Source organism: Homo sapiens, chromosome 12, assembly GCF_000001405.40.
Source record: "Homo sapiens chromosome 12, GRCh38.p14 Primary Assembly".
Classification (NCBI taxonomy): domain Eukaryota; kingdom Metazoa; phylum Chordata; class Mammalia; order Primates; family Hominidae; genus Homo; species Homo sapiens.
The window spans coordinates 1,115,386-1,143,254 of NC_000012.12; the positions used below are offsets into that span (position 1 = coordinate 1,115,386).

The 27,869-nt window shown below is 37.8% G+C and overlaps 1 protein-coding gene and 1 long non-coding RNA gene across 54 annotated transcripts in view, besides 1 other annotated feature; one reads left to right on the forward strand and one right to left on the reverse strand.

Moving 5' to 3' along the window:
* ERC1 (ELKS/RAB6-interacting/CAST family member 1) overlaps positions 1–27,869 on the forward strand; it is a 505,975-nt gene that overhangs the window by 125,427 nt on the left and 352,679 nt on the right. For 52 of the 53 annotated variants that reach the window (NR_027948.3, NR_027946.3, XR_001748631.3 and 49 more), the window contains 2 exons: positions 481–648; positions 26,235–26,402. Coding sequence is in view for 49 of the 53 variants with exons in the window: in XM_047428566.1 (XP_047284522.1) it covers positions 481–648; positions 26,235–26,402 (336 nt within the window). In the remaining 4 variants the exon portion in view is untranslated. The remainder of the gene's footprint in view (positions 1–480; positions 649–26,234; positions 26,403–27,869) is intronic. The other variant, NR_027949.3, reaches the window with a different exon arrangement.
* Positions 15–1,214: an enhancer, noted in NCBI's record as "CDK7 strongly-dependent group 2 enhancer chr12:1224566-1225765 (GRCh37/hg19 assembly coordinates)". NCBI's record gives its function as "activates an origin of replication core promoter dependent on BRD2, BRD4, P300/CBP, MED14 and CDK7 cofactors, with strong dependence on CDK7, by STARR-seq in HCT116 cells {active_cell/tissue: HCT116}" and the evidence as "EXISTENCE:reporter gene assay evidence [ECO:0000049][PMID:35650434]".
* LOC124902857 (uncharacterized) lies at positions 29–14,090 on the reverse strand. The gene is made up of 3 exons (XR_007063157.1): positions 13,995–14,090; positions 2,181–2,237; positions 29–114 (listed from the first exon to the last, which is right to left on the reverse strand). It is a non-coding gene; the product is annotated as an uncharacterized LOC124902857 (long non-coding RNA).

Below are 27,869 nucleotides of genomic sequence, written 5' to 3' on the forward strand. Positions count from 1 at the left end.
GCACAACAGCAGCAGATTTTGAATTTTAAATAGTACTAGGAGGTTTCTAAAACCTTTTTTGTTATATCTGCACTCATCCTGCATTTGATCCATCATGTTCTGAAGAGGTCTCACCTAGAAAAATGAAAACCATTTCATCAGTACAGTGGTGTTCAGTTGCTTACTGCTGTCTCATAGTCATCTAATTGAATTGGAATTTCCTTTCCCTCCATTCCCTTTCTAAGAGGTTTCAAAGAATATTTAGAAGACACAATAAATGAAAACTGGACATTTCCCTATTGGTTGAATAAGTTTAGTGGTTTTTTTTGGCTCAGGGTTGGGGAGATCCAAGGTTATGTCATGCAAAAAGATGAATATGACCTATCACACAGTTCGTGCTGCATTTAGTTTCATATTTTGTGACTCAGATCTGTGAAAGATACAGATAAGAGGTGTTTGTTTTATTTCTTTTTTCCTTAAAGTGTTTTACTTCTTTTCTAGATTGGCCAGGTGAAACAGGAGCTGTCCAGAAAGGACACAGAACTACTCGCCCTGCAGACAAAGCTAGAAACACTCACAAACCAGTTCTCAGATAGTAAACAGCACATTGAAGTGTTGAAGGAGTCCTTGACTGCTAAGGAGCAGAGGGCTGCCATCCTGCAGACTGAGGTAGAAACAATTCTGGGATTTGTGGGGAGTTGGTTTCTTGGCACCTTTTCATAAGCGTTACCTGTGCTGTTTTTGTTATGTTTAGAATTGGGAAATATGAGTAATGTTATGATTAATTCTTCAGCAGCGTGATCAGTCACTGTGCTAAAATGTAACCATCTTATTTCAGTTGTTCTTAGATCTAACAAGTTAAAACAGGTGCAGTTTATGTTTTTAATTCTTTAAACTTTTGCCAAGTCTGTACTTCAAAGTATACTCTGACAGTATTAAAAATAAAAGGATAATTGTAAAAGAGAAATCATTGATTTAGAAGCTTCAGTTCAACCCCTGGTGAATTTTCTAGTCATGAATGACAATGAGCTTGGTTACACTGTGTTTGGAGTACATTTAAGTGTCTTTAAGTTGTGATATTATGAATAACTGTATATAGGAAACTGGAATCTGTTAAAGTTCTAGATAGTCTAATTTTAAACCACAGATTATTAGACAATGTGTCTTCATATCCTGTTTGAAAATAAAGTTAGTGTTTTTAGAATTTTTTTTTTTTTTTTGAGATGGCCTCTCGCTCTGTTGCCCAGGCTGGAGTGCAGTGGTGTGATCTTGGCTTGGCGTGATCTTGGCTCACCACTACCTCCGCCTCCTGGATTCAGGTGATTCTCCTGCCTCAGCCTCCTGAGTAGCTGGGATTATAGGCGCATGCCACCAAGCCTGGCTAATTTTTGTATTTTTAGTGGAGATGGGGTTTCACCATATTGGCCAGGCTGGTCTCGAACTCCTGACCTCTTGATCCGCCCGCCTCTGCCTCCCAAAGTGCTGGGATTACAGGCATGAGCCACCATGCCCGGGCAGTGTTTTTCAAAATCTTGGAAGATGATCTAGACTATTGGCTATGACTTCAGTTAGGTATCCACCATCTTCAGATAGGTATATGACTTCAGATAGATATTTAGTGTATTTGCTAAATAATCCCAGATCGATTCTTATCTATCTTACTTTCAATGATCGAAGAGAAAGAGTTGATGATACCATGTGGATTTACTGTCTTAATATAAATATTTTTTAAAGGTTGCAGTGAAATAGATAATTTAAGAATAGATAAGTAGTTTTGCTTTATAGAAGAAACATAAAGCATATGATGTAGATTAGCTTTTTTTCTTTAAAGAAAAATAAGAACATAATTTGGTGGAAAAAAGGAATGAGGAGGAAAAGAAAGAATAAAAACCTCATAGTCTTAGAAGACAAGAATCTTCCAATAAGGAAGAATGAAGAAGGAACCTAAACTGTTTCATGTAATATTTTTATCTGTACAATTTGGGGCTTTGTTAAAAATGGGAGATTTTAGCTGACATGTTTGTCATTTTTCTTATAACTTACACTTTTTCTATTTTAGTTATGTTTCATTTTGTTATGATGTCAGCTCCATTCTACCTCACAGAGATATTTGGGTATAAAATCATGAGATGCAGTAGTGGCTAAGGCTTTGGCTCTAGAGTCATGTTTACTGAGTTTGGACTTCCATCTTTACCACTTACTATGAGTCGCGTGATCCTGGGAACGTATTCAACTTCCTTACACTTCACTTTTCACGTCTGTAAGGTGAAGAGAATAGTAGTGCTTAACTCATAAGTTTGTTGTTAGAATTAAACTCGTTTATTTACTGCCAGTGTCTGGCACATAGTAAAGTCTTTGTACATTCGTCATTGTTATCATTTTATAATTCTTCTAATAAAATCAACTAATGCATATACTGTTGAGATGTTAAGAGAACATAGTATTTAGATGATCTGCATTTTCTTACTTTTATTAAGCTAAACTTAGGTTTATTCAGGGAATTATAAATATGAAATCATCTAGATAATGTTACCTGCAAAGTTATTCATTTATAGCTTTATTTTAAAAATTTTTTGTGGGTGCATAGTAGGTATATATATTTATGGGGTATGTGAGATATTTAATACAGGCATACAATGTGAAAATAAATTATGGAGAATGGCGGTATCCATCCCCTCAATCGTGTATCCTTTGAGTTACAAACAATCCAATTACACTCTTTAAGTTATTTTAAAATGTAATAGCTTTATTAATCGTTTTTCACTTCAGTAGCTTGAGTGCATGCAATACAGCAAAAGGGTCAGAAGAGGGTGCCAGTGTTCTAGAGGTCAGCCGCACTTCCAAGTTTGCTACTGTAATAGCTTTGGATGGAGGTGGCAGGTGTACAAACCAGAGAACCAAGCAGTTGGTTAATGATAATGCAAACATTTAAAAGCTTGTCACAGTCTAATAAATGACTTTTCCCCCTTGGCAATCCATGCTTCTCTTTGTACCCCCCTCAAATAATATTCTTATTAGCCAGGTCTCACCCAGATGGGCTTGTGATTGGTTTCTTGTACCATAGAGAATAGATTGTATTTATTGTCATTCATGAATGGTTTTTAGTTTTTAGCCATTGCAGGAGTAGCTGAGTCTCAGTGATTATTTCTGTAAGTTACTAGGGCCACTGCGCAAATAGAACCATCTCATCATAAAAGATAAAAGAATGAAAGCTAACTTTCTTTGGAATTTGGGATGATTTTAAGAATGTAATATGTCTATTTATTAGCATTGCTTAAAAAATTACTCTGGTGGCACTTGACAAGAGTCACCTTTTCCAATGTAACTTGCCAGTGTTAGAGCCCAGTAAAAGGCAGTTTATACCAGCTCTTTGAAAGTTTTCATGTGTTTCTATAATTTGCTCTTAGTTGATTTCATCTTTTCTGCAGCTATCCCAGACTTCGATCTAACACTCGGATTACTAAATTAAGTATATATGAAAAAAGAACATGGAGCATGGAGTTTTTCTTTCATTTTTATTTTTAGAGATAGAATCTTACTCTGTCACCCAAGCTGGAGTGCAGTGGCATGATTATATTAATAGCTCATTGCAGCCTGGAACTCCTGGGATCAAACGCTTCTCCTGCCTCAGCCTCCTGAGTAGCCAAGACTTATAGGCATGTGCCACCACACCTGGCTAATTTTTAAAACTTTTTGCAGAGACAGAGTCTCACTGTGTTGCCTAGGCTGGTCTGGGACTCCTGAGCTCAAGCAATCCTCCTGCCTCTGCCTCCCAAAGTGCTCGGATTACAGGCGTGAGCCACTGTGCCTAGCCTGGAGTTTAAAAAATTTTAAAAATCCTTTAAGGAAAACAGTTACATGTGAAAAGATCTGTTTGTTTTTTGTTTTGTTTTGTTTTTTTTGTTTTTTTTTTCCCTATTCAGGGTACATGGACTAAGGCCCTCTGGTGTTATACAAGGTACAGTATATATGGAATCGCTCCCGTTTTGTAACCATCTCTTTTAATCTGATGACTTTCACAGAGGTGGTCTGGATTTAGTAATATAGTGGTTAAAAGCATGGTCTTTGGTGTCAGACATAGGCTTGAAAACCAGCCCTCTACCTTTACTAGTTGTGTGACCTTAGAGGAGTTACTTTACTTCTTCTTTGTGTGTGTGTGTGTGTGTGTGTGTGTGTGTGTGTGTGTGTGTGTGTGTGTGTGTGTGAGATGGAGTTTTGCTCTTGTTGCCCAGGCTGGAGTGCAATAGCACAATCTTGGCTCACCACAACCTCGCCTCCTGGGTTCAAGCGATTCTCCTGCCACAGCCTCCCGAGTAGCTGGGATTATAGGCATGTGCCACCACACCTGGCTAATTCTGTATTTTTAGTAGAGATGGGGTTTCTCCCTGTTGGTCAGGCTGGTCTCGAACTCCCGACCTCAGGTGATCTGTCCTCCTCAGCCACCCAAAGTGCTGGGATTACAGGTGTGAGCCACCGCATCCATTCAGGAGTTACTTTACTTCTTTAAGCCTCCATTTCCTCATCTATAAAATGAGGATAATGATAATAACAACTTCCTAAGGTTTTTATGACTAGGTGTTTAATTCTGTTCTCATCTGAATATGGAGGGACATTTTTTTATTAATTTATTATTTTTTTTTTGCGACAAGGTTTCACTTTGTCATTCAGGCTGTAGTGCAGTGCCTTGATCATAGCTCACTGTAACCTTGAACTTCTGGGCTCAGGTGATCCTCCCACTTCAGCATCTTGAGTAGCTAGGACTACAGATGCAGGCCACCTCTCCTGGCTGATTTTTTAATTTGTATTTTTTGTAGAGACAGGGTCTCACTATGTTGCCCAGGATGTTCTTGAACTCCTGGCTTCAAGCAGTCCTCCTGCCTCAGCCCCCAAAGCACAAGAATTATAGGCAGGAGCCACTGTGTCCAGCCATGGAGGGAAATTTAAATTCAGTGGGTTAAAAAATTTCGAAACACCTTACAGTTTATAGCACTTTGATTTGATTTGATCTTTATTGTTTTATTTGCTCTTCATAGTAATGGCATGGGTTAGACAAGATAATTATTGTTGTTTTGCTTTTATAATTGAGAATTTTGTGAACTGCTTATTAGCATACCACTTTTGACTGGCACTTGAGGCTACTCTCACTAGTAACACTGGGACTTTTGATATATCATTTACAGTATTCTCAAGAATTAAAGTTCTTTTCTTGTTCCAAAATTGTGATGCTATACTAGGGACCTACCATTAAATGTATTTTCAGGATGAATTCTCAATGTGCAGAGCAGAGCTGATTGTATCAATAAGCCAAAATAATGTACACCTTACTGCTTCAAAGTAGTACAGGTTTTTCCCCTTCTCCAGGAAATTGTGTTTTGGAATTCTGTTTATTATAGGTAAGGAATATAATCTATATCTTAGTAATAGTAAGAGGAAGTGGTTCTTTTTTTCGGAGGTGCTCAGGAGATCAGCATCTAGCACAAGGTGAGGACCTGCCCTTGCTCTAGGATGTTTTGGCACTAGGCACTAGAGCTAGGATGCTGTTGTTTGACGTGCACCCTCTGCTTGCAGTCCCAGCCCAGTTCTGACTTCTTCAGCATACTAAGAGTTAGTAATACATTCTTAGAACTAGAGGGCATTTTTAGAGATCATCCAGTCTTTCCGTAATTTAAAGAATATGTATGATAATATCTAACCTGAGTCTTGTACCATGGAGGGTTTGTATACTTTCATTTTCCCAGTTAATTCTTAGAGTAACCTTCTAAGAAATAAGAATTGTTGTAACATTTTACAGATGGGGAGTTAAAACTTAGAGAGACTGAGGTTACATGACCTAGTGCCCGATCGATTCAAACCCGCAAACTTGCGTTCTTGATCATAACGCTGCAATTCCTCCCTGTGCAGAGAGAATATAGTGACATGCTGAAGGCCTATACAACTACTTGGTATTAGTTTTGGGACTGGAATTCATCATTTCTGACTTCGCTAATTATGATGTGCATAGACGACCATGACTCTTGTTTGATTGGTAGGTTGAGGACTAGCCACAAAGAAAGATGGGGAGAAGAAGAAACAATTCATGTTGGTAGAGAGGAGAAAAGGATTTAGGTTGATGGAATTACATAGCCTCAGAAAGAGATAGGCATCTTTTGTGACGAGATTGTGAAAGAAGAGAAAGATGTATTGATTGATCTCTTCATTCAACACGGTTTTGGGAGTACCTGCTGAGAACCCTTCTGAGCACTGGGGATACAGTGGCAAATGAAACAAAGGCTGATGATCTCTATCTCTATCTCTATCTCTATCTCTATCTCTATCTATCTCTATCTCTATCTCTATCTCTATCTGTGTCTCTATCTCTATCTCTATCTCTATCTCTATCTATCTCTATCTCTATCTCTATCTATCTCTATCTCTATCTATCTCTATCTCTATCTCTATCTCTATCTCTATCTCTATCTGTGTCTCTATCTCTATCTATCTCTATCTCTATCTCTATCTCTATCTCTATCTCTATCTGTGTCTCTATCTCTATCTCTATCTCTATCTCTATCTCTATCTCTATCTGTGTCTCTATCTATCTCTATCTCTATCTCTATCTCTATCTCTATCTGTGTCTCTATCTCTATCTCTATCTCTATCTCTATCTATCTCTATCTCTATCTCTATCTATCTCTATCTCTATCTATCTATCTCTATCTCTATCTCTATATCTCTATCTCTATCTGTGTCTCTATCTCTATCTCTATCTCTATCTCTATCTGTGTCTCTATCTCTATCTCTATCTCTATCTCTATCTCTATCTGTGTCTCTATCTCTATCTCTATCTCTATCTCTATCTGTGTCTCTATCTCTATCTCTATCTCTATCTCTATCTGTGTCTCTATCTCTATCTCTATCTCTATCTCTATCTGTGTCTCTATCTCTATCTCTATCTCTATCTGTGTCTCTATCTCTATCTCTATCTCTATCTCTATCTGTGTCTCTATCTCTATCTCTATCTCTATCTGTGTCTCTATCTCTATCTCTATCTCTATCTCTATCTGTGTCTCTATCTCTATCTCTATCTCTATCTGTGTCTCTATCTCTATCTCTATCTCTATCTCTATCTGTGTCTCTATCTCTATCTCTATCTCTATCTCTATCTCTATCTGTGTCTCTATCTCTATCTCTATCTCTATCTGTGTCTCTATCTCTATCTCTATCTGTGTCTCTATCTCTATCTCTATCTCTATCTGTGTCTCTATCTCTATCTCTATCTGTGTCTCTATCTCTATCTCTATCTCTATCTCTATCTCTATCTCTGCCTATTGATATATCTGTATATATCTATCTAAATCTCTGAAACAGCTGCTCAGAGTAAAAGAGGACTGGGTGCTATGAAAAGAGATAGGGCTTAGAATCTTTTTCAGATGAGTGTGTTTCTCTCACTGTTGTATGTGGGTTGTTGAGTTATGGGGTAGGGGTTGGGGGTGGGTGCTGCAGGGTGACACTGGTATGATATTCAAGTCTGCTTGTGAAGGTAGACTGGCTTTGGAGTGCTCCTTCCCCTTTCAGCATCCTCTCTATACCTGGGGCAGAGCATTTGTTCTAGCAGCGGTACAGATGATCATGCCAGAGGCGTTCTGATCTGGGAGGCTTGCTTCCTGCCACAACCACTCCCCCAGCTCCAGCTGGTGAGATGGCACTGCTTACGGTGGTGATGGGGTAATGTCTTGTTTGTGGGAAGATGTAGATACTGATAAGCTTAAGAAGTTACATTAAGTTACTTAAGAAGATAATGATAAGCTTAAGAAAATACAGTTACTTAAGAAGATAATGATAAGCTTAAGAAAATACAAGCATAAGTATGGCTCTTAATACGCTAGAAAAATCAAAATGGAATGTATAAGTTTCAAACCGTCAGAGTAAAACCCAGTTTACCCAGTGGAGAATAGAGAAGAATGGGGAGGGGAGAGAAAGAAATGTGATAGCATGTGGACACCATGAAAAAGAAGGCTGAGATAAGTACAAATCATGGGAAAGTCAATAAATACAAATAAGTACTTAGATCAAAATGAAAATATAAATCTCAGTTGGGCTAAAAAGATACAGAAAGATACTGTCAACAAGAGTTAAACAGACAAAAAGTAACAGCAAAGTTAAAAATACAGAGATAGAAAAAAATTTAAAAATAAAAGTTATATCAGGAAAATAGGCCTTCCCAAATATGATTTATTTTAATATTGATTAAATTATCTTTTAAGGCACACAGAGCAATGTTATATGCTGATAAAAGAAACAGTAGATCAAGAAAATATAACCGTGCCGATCGATGCACCTAACAGCATGGCATTTAAATACATAAAGCGGGCCGGGCGCGGCAGCCCACGCCTGTAATCCCAGCACTTTGGGAGGCTGAGGCGGGTGGATCACCTGAGTTCAGGAGTTCGAGACCAGCCTGGCCAACATAGTGAAACCCTGTCTCTACTGAAAATACAAAAATGAGCTGGGCGTGGTGGCACGCACCTGTAGTTTTCAGCTACTTGAGAGCCTGAGGCAGGAGAATTGCTTGAACCCAGGAGGTAGAGGTTGCAGTGAGCTAAGATCATACCCCTGGGTGACAGCGCAAGATTCTGTCTATAAGTAAACAAATAAATGTATATATAGCAGCAATGAGGTGAAACAGATAAATCAACAATTGTAGTTGGTCATTTGGATGTGCTCCTGTCAGAATTTGATCAAATAAAGAAGCATCAACATAAAGTTTTAATAACATTAACAAGCTCAAGTTCATAGATGTGTATATAGAATTTTGTCCTAACATAGAGAATAAACAATATTTTCAAGAACTTACTGAACAGTCGTAAAAACTAACCATGTACTGGGTCATAAAGGAAACTTTAAAATTCCCAAGAGTCAAAGTCACATGACTTTGCACTCCTAATGCAGCAAAATTAGAAATCAGGAGTAAAGATAGTAAAGTAGTAATAAAGGTAGTAAAGAACAGCAGCAGAAAACCAAAATAAGTATATAATCTTGAAACATACTACCAAAATGACCTGTGGGTTAAAGGAAAAATATAAACATTTAAAAATGAGTGGCAGTGAAAGCTCTCTATATAAAAATTTGTGGAACATAATTAGAAAAAAATCTGTGGGGTGTAACTAAAGCAGTATTTAGAGGGAAATAGCTAGTTTTTAACATATTTATCAGAAAATAAGAAAGAAAAGCAAGTAATCTAGGTGTTCAAATCAGGAAACTTAGAAAAAACAGTTAATCCAAAAACAATAAAGAATAATAAATATAAGGTGAGAAATTAATAGAGAATAAAACAACACCAAGAGGTAGTTATTTGAAAAAGGTTAATAGGACAGGAACAGCTCTTACAGATGATAAAGGAGAAGTAACTACTAGTACTACAGAGTTTAAAAATAATATAAGACAACTCTAAACAATTATATTCGAATAAGCTTGAAAAACAAGAAGAAATAAGTTTCTGGAAAAATATAAAATGACAGAAGAAGTTCAAGAGATAAGAGAAAACATGAACAACAGTCGTTATAGAAATTGAAATGGTAATCAACCTCATCCCTTTTTCCCTCCCAAATCCTAAGGCCCAGATGGCTTTCGAGGAGAAAATATTTGATATTTTCTTTCTTTTTTTTTTTGGAGACAGATTCTTGCTCTTTCGCCTAGGCCGGAGTGCAGTGGCACAATCTTGGCTCACTGCAACCTCCACCTCTCAAGTTCATGTGATTCTCCTGTCCCAGCCTCCCAACTAGCTGGGACTACAGGTGCATGCCACCACGCCCAGCTAATTTTTTGTATTTTTAGTAGAAATGGGGTTTCACTGTGTTAGCCAGGCTGGTCTCAATCTCCTGACCTTATGATCTGCCCACCTTGGCCTCCCAGAGTGCTGGGATTACAGGCATGAGCCACCGCGCCCAGCCCAATATTTGATATTTTCTATCAAATATTTAAAAATAGTCATTTTCATCCTCAAGTTGTTCCCCACTCCCCAAGAAAAAACAAGAAAGCCTAATACTCTACCCAAGGATATGAGGAAAAATAAATAAATTAAAAGATACTCCATGTCAATAGATGGTATAATTTAATCCTGCAGGGATATCAGTTTTCCTGAAGTTAATGTATATATTCTTCTGCATTTCCAATTAAAACACCAAGCAGTCGGCCGGGCACGGTGGCTCACGCCTATAATCCCAGCACTTTGGGAGGCTGAGGCAGGTGGATTATCTGAGGTCAGGAGTTCAAGACCAGCCTGGCCAACATAGTGAAAACCCGTCTCTACTAAAAATACAAAATTAGCTGGGCACGGTGGTGCGCACCTGTAATCTCAGCTACTCGGAAGGCTGAGGCAGGAGAATCACTTGAACCCAGGAGGCGGAGGTTACAGTGAGCTGAGATCGCACCACTGCACTCCAGTCTGGGTGACAAGAGCGAGACTCCGTCTCAAAACAAAACAAACAAAAAAAACAAACAGTATTTTTTAGGAATTCATTTTATTTTAAATTTTGTAAGGAGGAGTTACAAAAAGACAAATACTACATATGATTCCACTTGTCATACCTAGAGTCAAATTCATGGAGACAGAAAGTAGAAAGGTGGTTACCAGCGGCTGGGAAGGAGAGAATGTGGAGTTTAATGGGTATAGAATTTTAGTTTTGTAAGGTGAAATGAGTTCTGGAGATTGGTTGCACAACAGTGTGAATATACTCAACACTACTGAACTGTAGACTTAAAATGATTGAGATAGCAAATTTTATGTCTGTATATCTTACCTCTATTAAATTTTTAAAAATGTATATGGATGAATAAAGCTATTCTAACATTAAACAAAAAGAGAAGAGAAGATGGGAGAACCCTGCCCTGTGAGACATGAAAATACAGAGTCATAAACCAAACGAAACCAAACAGTGCACCTCAGAACAGTGCGGTAACTAGCACAGGAAGGAGCAGATATGAAAAGAACAGGGAGTGTGAAATCAGAAACATTTATGTGGAGAGATAGTCAGTCATAAACTAGTGCAAAATTAAGCAAGTATGAGAAAACTGACATACCATATGGAGAATAAAGTTGGCCACCTACTTCATGCTAGATGAAACAGTGAACTCTAGATGGATTAAAGACCTCAGTGTTAAAGAGAAACTATAAAGCTAATCAATAAAAATGTTTAGTAGGAATATATTGGGTAAGATAACTTAAATGTCTCCATCAAATTTAAGCATTTCTGTTCAAGAAAGAAAACCATTGGCAAAGCTAACAGATGAGATTGGGAGAAGAGTTTTTTTAGAGCCTCTTAAAATAGTAAGGATTCAGATAAAGAATAAAAAAGAGATGCTTGAGGCTAGGTGTGGTGGCTCACGCCTGTAATCCCAGCCCTTTGGGAGGCTGAAGCGGGCGGATCATGAGGTCAAGAGATCGACACCATTCTGGCCAACATGGTGAAACCCCGTCTCTACTAAAAATAAAAAAATTAGCTGGGCGTGGTGGCACGTGCCTGTAGTCCCAGCTACTCAGGAGGCTGAGGCAGGAGAATTGCTTGAACCCAGGAGGCGGAGGTTGCAGTGAGCTGAGATCATGCCACTGCACTCCAGCCTGGCGACAGAGTGAGATTCTGTCTCAAAAAAAAAAAAAAAAAAAAAAAAAAACCTCAAAAATCAATAGAGACTATAGGGAGAGGGAAGGATTTGAATAGACAATTAACAGATAAAGAAACCTAAGTGGTTAACAACTATGCCATGATATCATCAATCTTACTAGTAAATAAAGAAATGCAAATTTCAAAGATGATGAAATACTATATTTTGTTCATCAAATTGATAAAAATTAGAATGTGAGATAACATTCAGTGCTTGTGAGGATTTGGGCAAACAGTAACACAAATGACGTAGGTGGTTTCAGTAATCCCATTCCTTGGTATATTTCCCAGAAAAACTTTCCTGCTGGTCCACAAAAGGACATGTATAAGGATGTTCACCACAGTATTATTTGTGGGAAGAAGGAATTAAAAGCAGCATAAGTGTTTATTACTAGGGGGTTGGATAAATAAAGTATTGTGGATATGTACCATGGAATACTGTACAAAAGTCAAAAGCAGTGATGCAGAAGCAGGGATAGATATAAGTACTATCTATGTTTACTTTTTTTTTTTTTTGAGACGGAGTTTTACTCTTGTTGCCCAGGCTTGAGTGCGATGGCGCAGTCTCGGCTCACTTTACAGTACTTGTTACAAGTAGTGTGTTGTTTAAAAAACAGCATCCATCCCGTTTTTTAAAAGTAAAAAACAGGTTGAGGTATGTAACATTAATATAAATTGAAAACATGTATGAATATAAAAATCACCCTCTGTGTTTCTAAGATACATATTCAGGAACATATTAAAACATATTAGAATAGCTGCATATTGAAGGAGGGATGGGTATTGGACATAAATGGAAAAAGAGGAAAACAAAACAAGAGTAGAACTTCACATGAATCAACGATAACACTTGGACAGCGGATAGACCTTGGTCCTAAGTGAGATAGGGATCTGAAGCCAAGACCTCCGCATAAATCTAGTACTATCCTGAGAAAGGTCGGACGAGAAAAAAATTCCTCCTACCAGTATTAATGGCAATATGAGAGACTGACTTATTCTCCTTGGCTTTGATTTTGTGGAGAAAGGTCTCTCATCATGCAGGTTTGAGTTTGAATAGACATAACTGCTCTGAAGGGACATTCTCTCAACCTAGTACGTGTAGATTCCCACAGGTAAAAGCATTGCTTAGAATGAATTTACAATTCCACATTAGTTAATCACTTGTGGATTGTAATCTCCCCTGAACCAATAATGGGAGTAAGAACAAATGGAGTGATCAGACCCTTAGGAACGCTGGATAATAGAACGAGAGTATAAACTAAATGATTAAAGGACGGACTGAGAGGCATGGGCACACTCTCCAGAATGGATGATCAGATATGACTTGTTAGGATGTTGTTTCATGACTATTGAGAGCAAAAGCTGAAGTAGCACTAGGTTTTTAATTTTTATTTTCTTAATTTTTAATTTTTATAGAGACAGAACCTCCTTATGTTGCCCATGCTGGTCTTCAGCTCCTGGACTCAAGTGATCCTCCCAACTCAGCCTCTCGTAGTGTTAGGATTACAGGCGTGAGGCACCGTGCCCAGCTAGCACTAGCTGTTTAGTACAGTGTGTTTGAATCTTGGGTCTGCCACTTGCTGTATGAGTGTATACTTTTTTGCCTCAGTTTTCTCATCTGTGAGAAGAATAATAGCCTTACCCCATAATGTTGTGAGAATTAAATGTTAATTATCTATGTAGTAACACTCAGTAAATATTAGCTATTATAATTAATAAATGCATAAAGAAATGATTTAAAACGCGAGGAAAAAAACAAAGGTACTGTAAATAAAACCAACCGGGTTATAAAAGATCAAAACAGGATTTTAGACATGAAATATATAGTAACTAAAATGGAAAACTCAGTATATTAGTGTAGTTGCAGATTATAGAGAGCTGCAGGAACAGTTAGTGAATTGGAACATAGATCTGATGAGCTATTACCCAGCAAGCAATAGGAAAGATAGGAAGATAGAAATTATTAAAAAGAACTCTATGTAAATTGAGCCCAACTTATATGTAGGAGTTTCAGGAGTGGATAAAGAGAATGGGAGGCAATCTTAAGAGAGAATTGCTGAGAATTTTTCTGATTTTGATGATAGGAATGGATTCTTCAATTCAGGAACAAATTATTCTTGAGCAGGAAAATATCTACACCTACATACAGCATAGTGGAACCATAGATAAACTAATCTTAAATACTGCCAGGTAGACTGGGCATGATGGCTCACGCCTGTAATCCTAGTGGAGGTCAAGGTAGGAGGATCACTTGAGACCAGGAGTTTGAGACCAGCCGGGGCAACAGTGAGACTGCGTCTCCACAAACAACAACAACAACAAAACTAACAACAACAACAAAAAACTAACCAGGCAACAACAAGAAAAAAAACTTACCAGGTGTGGTGTGTACATGTAGTCCTGGCTACTCAGAAGTCGAAGGCGAGAGTATCCCTTGACCTTAGCTAAGGGCTTCAGGGCAGTAGTGAGCTATGATTGTGCCACTGCACTCCAGCTTGGGCAATAGAGCGAGACCCTGTCTCTAAAAAAGAAAACAACCTGCTGGGGAGAAAAAATACATTACGTGTAAAGGATTAACAATTAGGCCAACATCAGACTTTTCAGTTGCCACAACAGTAGTGAGAATATGGTAGCGTAAAATCTTCAAAGTTTAGTGAAAAACATTGGCAACTCAGAATTCTGTACCAAGCTGAACTCTCATCATTCTTCAGTAAAGATAGAAGAAAGACTTTTACTTTCAGATTAATACAAATGAGAGTTTACTACCCAGGATCCCTATGGAAACAACTGTTAAAAGATGTATGTTAGAAAGAAGAAAAGAATGAGATGCAAGAAAAAAAAACAGGAGATGAAAAGGCATTAATGTAACAGGAGAAACTAATCTAATATCAATATAATAGTATGGCATAGACCTTACAGTAATAGTGCCGTTACAGCCAAAACTCGCAAATCAATTGAGGTTTATTCAGTAAAGGTGAGGAATTTCAGAGAAAGATCACAAAAGGAAGAGCTTGTCTGTTGCTTCTCCTTGTTGGTATAATGTTGCTAAATAATACAGCAGGTGGAATTCTGCATCTAGATTGTTTCTATCTTCCCTGTCAAGAGCATAGGAATGAAATAAATGGAATATATATTTCTACAGTGGCAAAATGAAAATGAAGCTCAAGGTGTGTGAAGACAGAAATTGTAAGAAAGCGTAAAGACCTCTGCAATGGCCAGGCAGAGTGACTCATGCCTATAATTCCAGCACTTTGGAAGGCCGAGACAGGAGGATCACTTGAGCCCAGGAGGGTTTTCACATAGAGAAAGCTATAAGGAATTCTCCCTTTCTGTGAGGGTTTTCACATAGAGTTATAAGGCTTTGTTGATCTTAGTTCTGATACCAGAACGAGGAAGTGTTATGTTATGTGTTGGCTTAAGGGGTCAAAGTAGGTTGGCTGACTGCCATGCTTTATCAGGTTTGCAGAGGCCAAGAGTTCCTTGGGGCTGCATACCTGAATAGCACTTATTGCAGTATACTTTGTGTAGCCAATACTGTGTCTTCTTTGTCTGCTATGAGTTTTCAAGGGAAAATGAGTGAAGGTATCAACATTAATTTTTCAGAATATAAATTTGCGAAACGTATAGTCTTTTTTTTTTTTTAAACTATGTACTGTGGAATGACTCATTTCTACCTTGACTATTTTGATATCTGAGCTTTTCATCTTTTTGTCAAGTATGGGGTATCAAACAGAGCACAATTGCAGTTTGTTGAAACAGTACTCTAAAACAGTTTACTTCCGTGTGGTCTGTAATGCTGTCAGTCCCATGGCTCAGTGCCCTTCACGTAGCATTCAGCCTCCCATCTAGGTGGGAACAATGGGAAATGCAGTCATAGGATATATCATTTAGAGTGGACTTGAGCAAGTTACTTAATTAGTTTGGGCCTTGATTTTTCTCAGCTTTAAAGTTGGGAGTTTAAATTCAGTTATTTAACTGTTAAAAAAATTTATGAAGTACTGTGGAATACAGGAAAATTGTAGAAAATATAATAGATACCAGTCAGATTTAACATACATTAAAATAAAGAATTCTTAAAAATGTCTCATTCTAAACTAATCAATGGAAGATGTGGTTTAAATAAAAGTTATTAGAATTTTAGGTTTTTAGAACTAGTTGGGGCCAGGAATAAAGATTTGGAAGCTGTGGAGGTGGTGGTGAAAGCCTTAGAATTGGATTAGTTTCTCCAGAGGAGGTTCCATGCAGTGAGATGTGAGGAGGAGGAAATGACAGAGGATGGAGAACACTGAAAAGGTGTGATCACAGAGTTAGAAAGGAAAAGTGTCATGTTGGCAAAGCCAAGAGGGGAATGATAGGAAACAAGCCACATATCCATGCAACTAATTATTACTACTAATTTGCCTTTAGATAGATCTGTTTATTGATTTAAAACAAAGGAAAGTTAAGGTACGTTGAGAGAATTGGTTTTTTTTAATTGAGGCAGAGTCTCTCTCTGTCACCCAGGCTGGAGTGCAGTGGCACAATCTTGGCACACTGCAAGCTCCACCTCCCGGGTTCGCACCATTCTCCTGCCTTAGCCTCCCGAGTAGCTGGGATTACAGGTGCCCACCACCACACCCAGCTAATTTTTTTGTATTTTTTTTAGTAGAGATGGGGTTTCACCCTGTTAGCCAGGATGGTCTCGATCTCCTGACCTTGTGATCCGCCCCCTTGGCCTCCCAAAGTGCTGGGATTACAGGTGTGAGCCACCGCGCCCAGCCAGAATTAATTGTTTTTTGATCAGAAGTGAGAGGCCAAAACAGTAGGGTAGCCATTTTCTGTTCACTTCCATTGGTAGAGAAAACCTTGTAGACAAAAGCCTTCTGTTTTTATTGAAGTTGGCATGACCTGTTTGCTACAGACAAACTTGGCAAGTTGGGCGAATGCTGTTCCTGCAGCTCTGCTGGTGTGAATAAACAAGGTTTTATTCCTCCTGCCAGGACTGGTGTCAGGGCAATGACTGTGTGTGTCCTGCTGGTCTTTGAGGGGTTTTCCTGAATATGTTTTTTGTGGTTTGTAAAATATGGACCTCACGCAAAATTATACTACAAATTTAGTTCACTCCAAACCAAAAGATCAGTGTAGAATTCAGAGCAATTAATCTGGTAGTAGCAAAGTGGTTTTTGTGGTGGTTTTTATCTCAAATCTCCAGACTAGCATATTTGAATTCTGTACTGCACAAAAAAGCAGACTAAGACAAAGTGTACACAGGTGATGTGAATTGAATACTTAGTCAATAAAAGATCATTTAATAATTAGGGGTATGGACGGGCAGTTTCTGTTCCTAATATTTATTATATGAAATATTTTTTGTATCAAAGCCTGTGTTTCCAGCCACACTTATACTAAAGGTTTGTATGTTTATAACAAGAGTTCTTATTCTTTCCCTTTTCAGTCACCTTTTTCGGTCACCAATTCATACTTGACACTCTCTCAGTGCCGTGCGGGTATTTATGTCCGGTCAGCATTGACATGTTTCCAGGTCACTTAACTGAATCATGGATCCAATATAAAGTGCAGCTTGGGCATCTGGGTGCCTTTCATAAAGAGGCAGCAATGTGGGGTCTCACAAATGTTGTCCTGTGTGATGGTGGTGCCATCAGAATGAAAAACACTTAGAAGTGATGAGGGATGTGTTCCTACATACAGATCCATGTCCCGCAGATGGAAAGGCTTTTTTCTGAAATTAATGCTTAGAAGAACTGAGAGACAAGAAAATTAGGCAGTTGAGACTTCAGGTTTGAATGCCTAAGCTTTTTGCCTTTGTAGTAAGAATTTGTGTATTTAGGACATACAGGATAAAATAATGTGGGTTTTTTTTTTTTTAATTGAGACGGAGTTTCGCTCTTGTCACCCAGGCTGGAGTGCAGTGGCACAATCTTGGCTCACTGCAACCTCCGCCTCCTAGGTTCAAGTGATTCTCCTGCTTCAGCCTCCCGAGTAGCTGGGATTACAGGCATGCACCACCACGCCTGACTAATTTTTCTGTATTTTTAGTAGAGACGGGATTTCACATTGTTGGCCAGGCTGGTCTTGAACTCCTCACCTCAAGTGATCCACCCACCTCGGCCTCCCAAAGTGCTGGGATTACAGGTGTGAGCCACCACACCTGGCCGGTTTTTTTTTGTTTGTTTGTTTTTAATGAGGTGCTTTGTTTTTTGCTTTTGGTTAGAGGTAGTGGTAGATTAATATATAGTATACAAAATACAGATTAGCATGTAGTAATTAGATGCAAATGATTATGTGATTTATTTATTTTTCAAATTTCTGACATGTATACTTTTCTAAGGCTTTGACCTCCTTAACTGTGTAGAAGGGTCACCAGATTCAGTAAGCACCTTCGCCATGACTGATGCCTTGTAATGGGTTCAGCTAATAGGAACCAAACCTGACACTGTCAAATAGGATTAGTAGCAACACTGGCTGGCTTGAGCTGTGCCTGAATGCCAGTGGATAAGGGTCAGTGGGTTCTTTGGCATCTTGAGCAGCCTGGTTGTTGAATTTCATATTCCACTAAGGTCTTTACTCTGTGGTTGCAATCCTTTTCTTTTAACTGAATCAATATTCAGTCTGTTCTGACACTTCCCTTTTGGACCTTTTTTTGTTTGCATGGCGGAGTGTTGTGATTTTTACTCTCTTGGCAAATTTCAGGTATATAATACAGCATTATTAATTACACGCTGCTGTATATTAGATCCCCAGAACTTACTCGTTTTATAACTGAGGGTTTGTACCCTTTGATCAGCATCTCCCCATGCCTCTCCCTGTTCCTATCCCCAGCCCCTGGTAACCACCATTCTCTTCTCTGTTTCTTTGAGTTCAACTTTATTCAGATTCCATATGTAAGTGAGATCATACCGTAATCTGTGTTATTTCTGATCTCAGTTTTCACTGAATGCTTTTTGTCCTTGTATTATGAGTTGTGTTTTTCTGCTTCTTTGCTTGTCTGGTGAGTTTGGGTTGGATGCCAAGCATTGTGAGTTTTACCTTGTTGGGTGCTAGGCATTTTGTATTCCTGTAAATATTACTGAACTTTGTTTTGTGATGCTGGTAAAATACTTGGAAATAGTTTCATTCTTTTGGGTCTTTCATTTAAGCTTTGTTAGATGGTACCAAAATTGCATTTATTCTAAAGCTAGTCTCCTCGTGCACCCCCTCCCCCTTGATTATATTAAAGAGATTTGCAAAAATTTAAAACAATTATATTCTTCTTACTATTTTAGGGGGAAAATACAGGTTTTTGAAATTAAAATGTTACTTTGATTAACATAATGGGTTTATTGTTATTTAAAAGCTGTTCTAATTTTTTTTTTTTTTTTAAAGATACAGTGTCTTGCTTTGCTACCAAGGCTGGAGTACAGTGGTGTGATCATAGCTCACTGCAGCCTTGAACTCCTGGGCTCAAGCGATCTTCCTGCTTCAGCCCCCTGAGTAGCTAGAACTATAGGTGTGTGCCACCACACTTGGCTAATTAAAAAAAATTTTTTTTTGTAGAGATAGTGTCTTGCTATGTTGCCCAGGGAGGTCTTGAACTTTTGGCCTCAAGTGATCCTTCTGCCTCAGCCTCCCAAAGTGTTGGGATTACAGGTGTGAGCCACCGCACCTGGCCCTAATTTTGAGTGTAGCAAATATTGATAGATATAACTCACATAAATAAAAACTCAATAATTGGGGGTCCTCAGTAACTTTTTTTTTTTTTTTTTGAGACATAGTTTTGCTCTTGTTGCCCAGGCTGGAGTGCAATGGCGTGATCTCAGCTCACTGCAACCTCCGCCTCCCGGGTTCAAGTGATTCTCCTGCCTCAGCCTCCTGAGTAGCTGGGATTACAGGCATGCGCTACCATGCCTGACTAATTTTGTATTTTTAGTAGAGACAAGGTTTCTCCCTGTTGGTCAGGCTGGTCTTGAACTCCCGACCTCTGGTGATCTGGCCACCTTGGTCTTCCAAAGTGCTGGGATTACAGGCCTAAGCCACTGTGCCCTGCCGGTCCTCAGTAATCTTTAAGAGTGCTGAGGAGTCCTGAGACCAAAGGGTCTGAGAATGGTAATGGAAGGGAACATTCAGAACATTTGGGTGCCTGAGGCTTCTCTAGAGCAGGGTACTTGCCCAAAGGGGGCTTGGGATTTTGCTTCCTGTTCCAACCTAACCTTTGTGTTGCCCTGATATCTTATTTTCTGTTACTGGAGGCATCTTCCAAACTCAGTTCTCCAGGTCACGGAAACAAGTCAATGAAAAAGCAGGACAGGTGTCACTTCTGTTATAAGCTTACCACTTCGGGCTTCTAGTCTCTGTTTTCAACATTTTAGTGATGTTGTCTCTTTCTCTATGTGTACACTTCTGTATATGCTTATATGCATGCTGATCTATGAATTTGAAAAGAAGTTTGTTGTGCTTTACCTAGCATTTCTGGGTGTTTTGTAGCAGTAGGTGTGGTGGGCTGAATAGTATCCTCCATAAATCTGTGTCTACCTGGTACTCAGAATGTGACCATATTTGGAAATAGGGTCTTTGAAGCTATTATTAGTTAAGGTTTGAGATAAGATCATGATGGAGTGGGCTCTAAATGCAATGACTGGAGTCCTTATAGAAGAGAGAGGACATATAAAGATACAAAGAAGAGGGTGAAGTGAAGGTGGAAACAGAGATTGGAGTGATGCATCGTCTACAAGACGAGGAGCCAGGAGACAGCAAGAGGCAAGGAAGGCTCTTTCTCAGAGCCCTCATAGAGAGCAAGGTCCTGCTACACCTTTATGTCAGACTTCTAAACTCCAGAACTTGGAGAGAGGAAAATAAATCTATTGTTTAAAGCCACCTGGTTTGTGGTCCTTTGTTAGGGCAGTCCTAAGAGAGTAAAACAGTTAGGTTTTTCTGGATTTCTAGCTCATATTCAGGTCATTATCAGGTATTTTCAGGTTTTTATCAAAGCATTTCAGGTATTATCAGGGAGACTGTTAAGATATAATGTCATGTCAGAAATAACACACCAAAAATAAGGTTCTTATTCTCTCTCGAAGCTAAAACCCATTTAGTCTTCTTCATCAGAAACCTGGGAACCCATGTTTGACTTATCTCTCTTTTATCCCTTATATACAACCAATAAAAGTCAAGCTCCTAGACATGACACTGATGCTTTCCGTGGCTAAGGCCTTGTCTTCTGCTGCACCTCACATAACTTACCACCTATTCTATGCTTTAGCAATTCTCTATTCATAGCTCTCTGAGAAGTTAACATCCTTTCTAATCTTCATTATTTGTGGTATCTCTGCTCAAAGGTTCTTCCATTATCTTCCTCACCAGCCATCTTCTGCTCATCTTTACATGCTTTGAGGTATCTCCAAGCAATCTGAGTGCTTCTTTTCTGTACTTTTAGAAAATATTCTCTACACTTCTGTTGCAGCACTTTCTATAATATATTTATGTGATCTATTTTGGCAACATTCTTCTCCATTAGGTTGTAACTTCAGCAGAAGACAGGAAATATCTTAGTTATCTTTGTGTCTCCAGTAACCAGCCCAGTGTAACTTTTCCGATATACAAATACCATGACTTTCTCCTGCTTAAAAATCTTCACTGACTTCCATTTGCAAGTAGGATAAAATTTAAGCCTCTTATTTTAGCAGGCAAGGATTTATGATCTACTATCTTTTCAGGCTTGTCTCTTGTCCTTCTTCTGTTACTTTATGCCAAGCAATACCAAATGAATTTACAAGTATATCATGCTGTTTCATGTTTCTAGATTTTAAAGTATTCTATTTCCTCTTCCTAGATATCCATGCATTTCTCTCTGCCTTCCCTTTTGTATCTAGTGATGTTCTCTTCATTATTCAAAAACCAATTCAGACATTTATTCTTTTAGAAAACTTTTCTGACTCTTCTGACATACTGTTCATAGGAGAGATTTCCCTGCCTGCCTGTGTTCACCTGTGTTCCTTTATGCTGGTATTCTTTGGTATGTGATAACAGATTATAATCTTTGATGTCATATCTAGTCTTTGAGTTCCAGTCCTTCTACTCACCAGTTCTTTTTTCTTTTTCTTTTTCTTTCTTTTTTTCTTTTCTTTTTTTTTTTTTTTTTGAGACAGAGTCTCACTCTGTTGGCAGGCTGGAGTGCAGTGGCACCATCTCGGCTCGCTGCAACCTCCGAATCCCTGGTTCAAGCAATTCTCCTGCCTCAGCCTCCCGAGTAGCTGGGATTATAGGCAAGCGCCACCACGCCAAGCTAATTTTTGTATTTTTAGTAGAGATGGGGTTTCACCATGTTGGCCAGGATGGTCTCTATCTCCTGACCTTGTGATCTGCCCATCCTGGCCTCCCAAAGTGCTGGGATTACAGGTGTGAGCCACCACGCCCGGCCATAGTCCTTCTACTTACCAGTTCTTTAATATAATATGAGGTAAACTATTTAACTACGCTGAGTCACAGTTTTATCATCTTTTAAAATAGGGAGATAATGTTAGCTACTTTACAGTGCTAAATGTTTTAAGTGAGATAGGATTACTGAGGATAAAAGGGTGGGCAAAATAGGGGCCAGGAGCGGTGGCTCACGCCTGTAACCCCAGCACTTTGGGAGGCCGAGGCAGGCAGATCACCTGAGGTCAGGAGTTCGAGACCAGCCTGGCCAACATGGCGAAACCCCGTCTCTACTAAAAATACAAAAAAAATTAGCTGGGCATGGTGGCATGCACCTGTAATCCCAGCTACCAGGGAGGCTGAGGCAGGAGAATCTCTTGAACCCAGGAGGCAGAGGTTACAGTGAGCCGAGATTGCGCCACTGCACTCCAGCCTGGGCGACAGAGCAAGACTGTCTCAAAAAAACAAAAAATATATATAATTTATAATATGTTACATATTATGTATATTATTTATATGTATTATATAATACATATTATATAATATATAATATATTTATATAAATTAGATATAATATTATCATATATAGTATATATAATATATATTAATATATAAATGTGTAAATGTATATATTATATAATTATATATAAAATACAATTATATATAATTATATATTGTTTTATATTATATATAATATATAATCCATATTATAATATAATTATATTTAATACATATTATATATAATATAATTATATTTATTTACATAATATATATAATTGTATATAATATATATCATATATAATTATATATGATATATATTATATAATATATATCATGTATAATATAATTACAATATATGATATATATTATATAATATAATTACAATATATGATATATATTATATAATATATGTTGTATATAATACATATGTTGTATATAATATATGTTATATAATATATAATATATGTTATATGTAAGTTGTATATAATATGTAATACATAATATATGTTATATATAATATATATAGAAATATTGGTAAGTTCTGTATAATGATGTTATTAAGTTCTATAAGTAGAAAAAAAAGTGTTAAATTCTATTACAAAATACCCTGAGAAAGGATGAGGGAGATAGTATTTGTCTGTTGGGGGTTTGGAAAATATTTATTAAAATGGTGGCATAGGAAAAGGACCTTGAAAGATGTGTTCAGTAGGCAGATTTTTTTTAAGTGGTAGAGGGTTAAGGATATTACAGGCATAGGACAAAATGTGAACAATGACAAGAAAGAAGGAAAGTATAGTATTTATTCAGAGAATGGCAGTACTGCTGCAATGGAGAGCCACTGGAAGTGGGGCAAGGAGGCATATGGCAAAGGTTAGGCAGTGCTGGTACATTGGGACCGTCTGACCATGGAGGACCTTGAATTCCCTGCTGTGATCCTGTGGGTTAGGGTGGTGTTAGAGAATTAGTGGTTAAGAGTGTGGGGTCTGGAGGCAAGACCACGTAATCTTAGATCTCTGCTTATTTGTAGCTGTGAGATCTTGGGCCTGCTATCTCCTCTGAGGCCCAGTTTCCCACATTGCCGTGAGAGAGTGTGAAGTTTCCTGCAGGGAGAATGCAAGGGAAGAAAATACGATACCTGAGAACAGAAGTGTGAGGATTTTAATGTATATACAGTAGTCCTCCCTTAACTGCTTTTTTGCTTTCCTTGGTTTCTGTTACCTGTGGTCACCTGTGGTCTGAAAATATTAAATGGAAAATTCCAGAAAAGAACAGCTCCCAGATTTTAAGTTAAGCTTTTTTTTAGGTAGTGTGATGAAATCTTATGCCATTCTGCTGTATTCCACCCTGGAGGTGAATCTTCCTTCTGTCCAGTGTATCCACGTACCCACACTACCTGCCCCTTAGTCACTAGTAGCTGTCTCGTTATTAGATCGACTGTTGCAGTGTCAGTGCTTGTGTTCACATAACCCTTATTTTATTTAATAATGGCCCCAAAGCATAAGAGTAATGATGCTGGCATATTGTTACAATTGTTCTATTTTGTTACTAGTTATTGTTGTTAATCTCTTACTGTGACTAATTTGTAAATTAAATGTTATTATGTAATAGGTATGTATATAGAGGAAAAGCATAGTGTGTATAGGGTTTGATACTGTCTGTGGTTTCAGGCATCCACTGGGGGTCTTGGATTATATTCTTCGACGACAAGGGGGGATTACTGTATATGGTGACAAAAATATACATGAACACATGCAGGAAGGCCCAGAAAACTGTTTAATTCAGAAATAAAGTAGTAAAGTAAAACAGGTATGATTTTTTTTTTTTTGAGGAGTTGATATGAGACTGAAATCATTGCTTAAGCTGGGAGGAAAACAAAACAAAACAAAAACCAGAATAGAGACGAATGATAAAAAAAGAAGGACGATAGATCAGAGGTCATGCTATGGACAAAGGGTAGATTTAGTAGGTGTAGGAGGAAGAAAAGAACAGTATTTGTGATTCAGAAAAAAAAATTTAGAGTTTGAAAGTTCTCAGGTAGATCTTTCCAGATTATAATTAGGTTAACTATGTATATTAAAGTAGAATAGAGGTAAATTACAGATGAAAGACTCTTGAAGGAGCATGGTAGAACTTGTGGTGAATAATGACAAATGGGAGCTCAAATGATTATTCCCTACTTTCTGGCTTGGTGAGACTGGTCGCGTAGAAGTAGTTGGTAGAAATGTAGTTTAGCAGAGTGAACTATGGTTTATCTACATGTTTTTCCTTTCCAGTATGGTCCAACATAATTTGTAAGTACTTACAGTAGTAGCAAGTACTTATTATAGCAGTCTCCAATGAGACTAGTCTTGTTAAGAAATTTTCCATACTACTTAACTGAGCAGGAAGTACCACCGCACACACAGTATTGCTTCTCAGATACCTTGTAGTTTAGATACACTACACATTGGATATCCCTTACCTAAAATGCACGGGACTAGAAGTGTTTCAGAGTTTGAGTTTGGGAATATTTGCATTATACTTATGCTTACTGGTTGAGCATTCCTAATCCGAAAATCCAAAATGTTCCATTGAGCATTTCCTTTAAGTGTCGTGTCAGTGCTCAAAAAGTTCTGGAGTTTGGAGCATTTTGGATTTTGGATTTTCAGATTTGGGGATGGTCAACCTGTATTAGATCTTCCTGAGTGCTTTGATGTACCCTAAATGTGAAACATTATTCATATTTTCTTTGTGGTTTAATCCACGTTCAGATAGGAAAAATAAGACAAGTTAAAGATGAGAGACCATAGAACCATACTTGATTTCTTAGATTTGCACTGTTCAGTCTGGTAGCCACCAGCCATTTGTGGCTATTAAGTACTTGCAATGTGGCTAGCCCAAATTGAGATGTGATATAAAGGTGAAATATACATTAGATATCAAAGAGTTAGTATGAAAAAATATAAAATAGCTCATTAATAGTTTTTTATATGGGTTATATGTTTGAAATGACAATGAAAAAAGAATGTAAAAAAGCTTATTAACAATTTTCGGCTTGAAAATATGACTTATTATTTTCCTGTTGAACAGCACTGAATCTATGTGTGGGGTGCTAAAAGCTTAATAAAATTTTCTCTGAATGGATTTTAAAATAAGTATCATTAGATTTCTTGTTATTTTAAAGTTATATCTAATGAAAGGCATTAAACTTCAGGGATAAAGGTAACTAGTTACCAAACTTTTTAGCTGGTTAGTCTTGCTGTCTAAAAAGTAGACCTTTGCTTTTGCTTTGTATGGATATCTAAGTGCATTATGGGGTTGTTTTTCATAAAAGCCTCATAGCCTATGACTAGACTGTATTATCTGATATAGCCAGTGTTATGCTTGGTGATGCTTTTTTTCCCTTTTCCTCATTTTAGATTTTCTAAAGCAATGTAGCTTCACTTGGAAACTTGTTAGAAATACTGATTTTGAACCCCAACCCTGTTGAATCAGAGACTAAGGGCTTGATTTAGCCCTCCAGATGATTCTGATGTGCATGAAGTTTGAGAAACATAGTTGTAGAGATTCCATTGTGTAACGGTGAGCACACTGGACTCTGAATCCAGAGAAACATAGATGTAGATAATACTACTTTTATAGAATAACAAAACTCAACCTCTTTATAACCTTTATAACATATCTATTTGAAAGGAATTACATTCTTTTCTTTTTAATTCATCACTTGTAAAACTCCTACATTCTTAGGTGGATGCTCTCCGATTGCGTTTGGAAGAGAAGGAAACCATGTTGAATAAAAAGACAAAACAAATTCAGGATATGGCTGAAGAGAAGGGGACACAAGCTGGAGAGATACATGACCTCAAGGACATGTTGGATGTGAAGGAGCGGAAGGTTAATGTTCTTCAGAAGAAGGTAAGGTACAGGTGTTTCGAGTTCAGTGGCCCATTCCTCATACATCTTCACTCCTACCACTAAGTTATTTCTAAATGCTGTCAGAGTTTCTTGCTCATTTTTCAGTTTATATTTTTGTGATTAGTAATTTGGAACTCTTGTTGCGGTAGGTAGATTGTTAAGACTGCTCTATATATTCAGTTTTTAAAAATTTAAACACTGTTAGTATCTTCCAGTAGTGCTTTTCATGCTGTTTCTCAAAAGTGCCTTGTAAATTGCCAAAGTGTTTGAACTGACATTCTTTTGCCCCTTCTGTCTTTTATTGAAACTGTACCAAATTGGTTTAGTACATGGACTTGGGATGGTACAACTTCATTTATGTGTTTAATAAGATGACAATTTTAAGCCGAGACCAGTAGCATCCAGACCAACACATAATTCATATATGAGCAAAAAAAATGTGTGTGTGTCTATTTCAATACAAATCTTACTGTTCCTTAGTGCTTGTTATTTCCCCTTTTTTCAGTTAATATATTTTGGTATTCTTTCCAAGGGTTTCTTCATTGTTGTTACTAACAGCATTGTATGGATATACTATAGCAAAATTTCTACTGATGGACATTAATTTTGCTAAAAATTTCTTCCTTTACATAAAATGATTAATAGTAAAAAATGTTGTACATGTTTAGTTTATACATATGTCAAGTCAAGTATATTTCTAGGATAAAGTCCTTAAAGTTGAACTGCTGAGTGAAAGGATGTGCATTTATAATTTTGATGGATTTTGCCAAGTAACCTTAAAGAGACTGTACCAAGTTTCATTTCTACTATCCGTGATGAAAGTGTTATATTCCCACATACTTGTCTGCAGAGTGTGTTAATAGGCTTTTTCACTTTTTGGCAATCTGATAGGTGAGCAAACAATGTCAGTGTAGTTGGAGTTCTTTCATTGTAAGTAAAGTCGAACAGACTTTTATATTTAACATCCTTTGTATTTTCTATTATTTGTTTATATGCTTTACCCATTTTTGTTTTGAGTTCTTTCCTGCTTTTTTAAAAGTTGATTTGTAGAAATCTCTTCCCAATTTAAAAATTAGTTCTTTTGTCCGATGTGAGTTCTAAACATTTCTTCTTGTTTGGCTTATTTATTGAGATGGAGTCTCACTTTGTCGCCCAGACTGGAGTGCAGAGGCACGATCTCGGCTCAGTGCAACCTCTGCCTCCTGGGTTCGAGTGATTCCCCTGTCTCAGCCTCCCAAGTAGCTGGGACTACAGGTGCCTGCCCCCACATCTGGTTAATTTTTTGTATTTTTAGTAGAAACGGGGTTTTACCACCATGTTGGCCAGGCCGGTTTTGAAGTCCATGGCCTCAAGCGAGCCACCCACCTGGGCCTCCCGAAGTACTGGGATTACAGGCGTGAGCCACTGCACCAGCCCACCTTTTTTAAAAAATAAAAATAAAAAAGATGTTGTCCAGGCTGGTCTCAA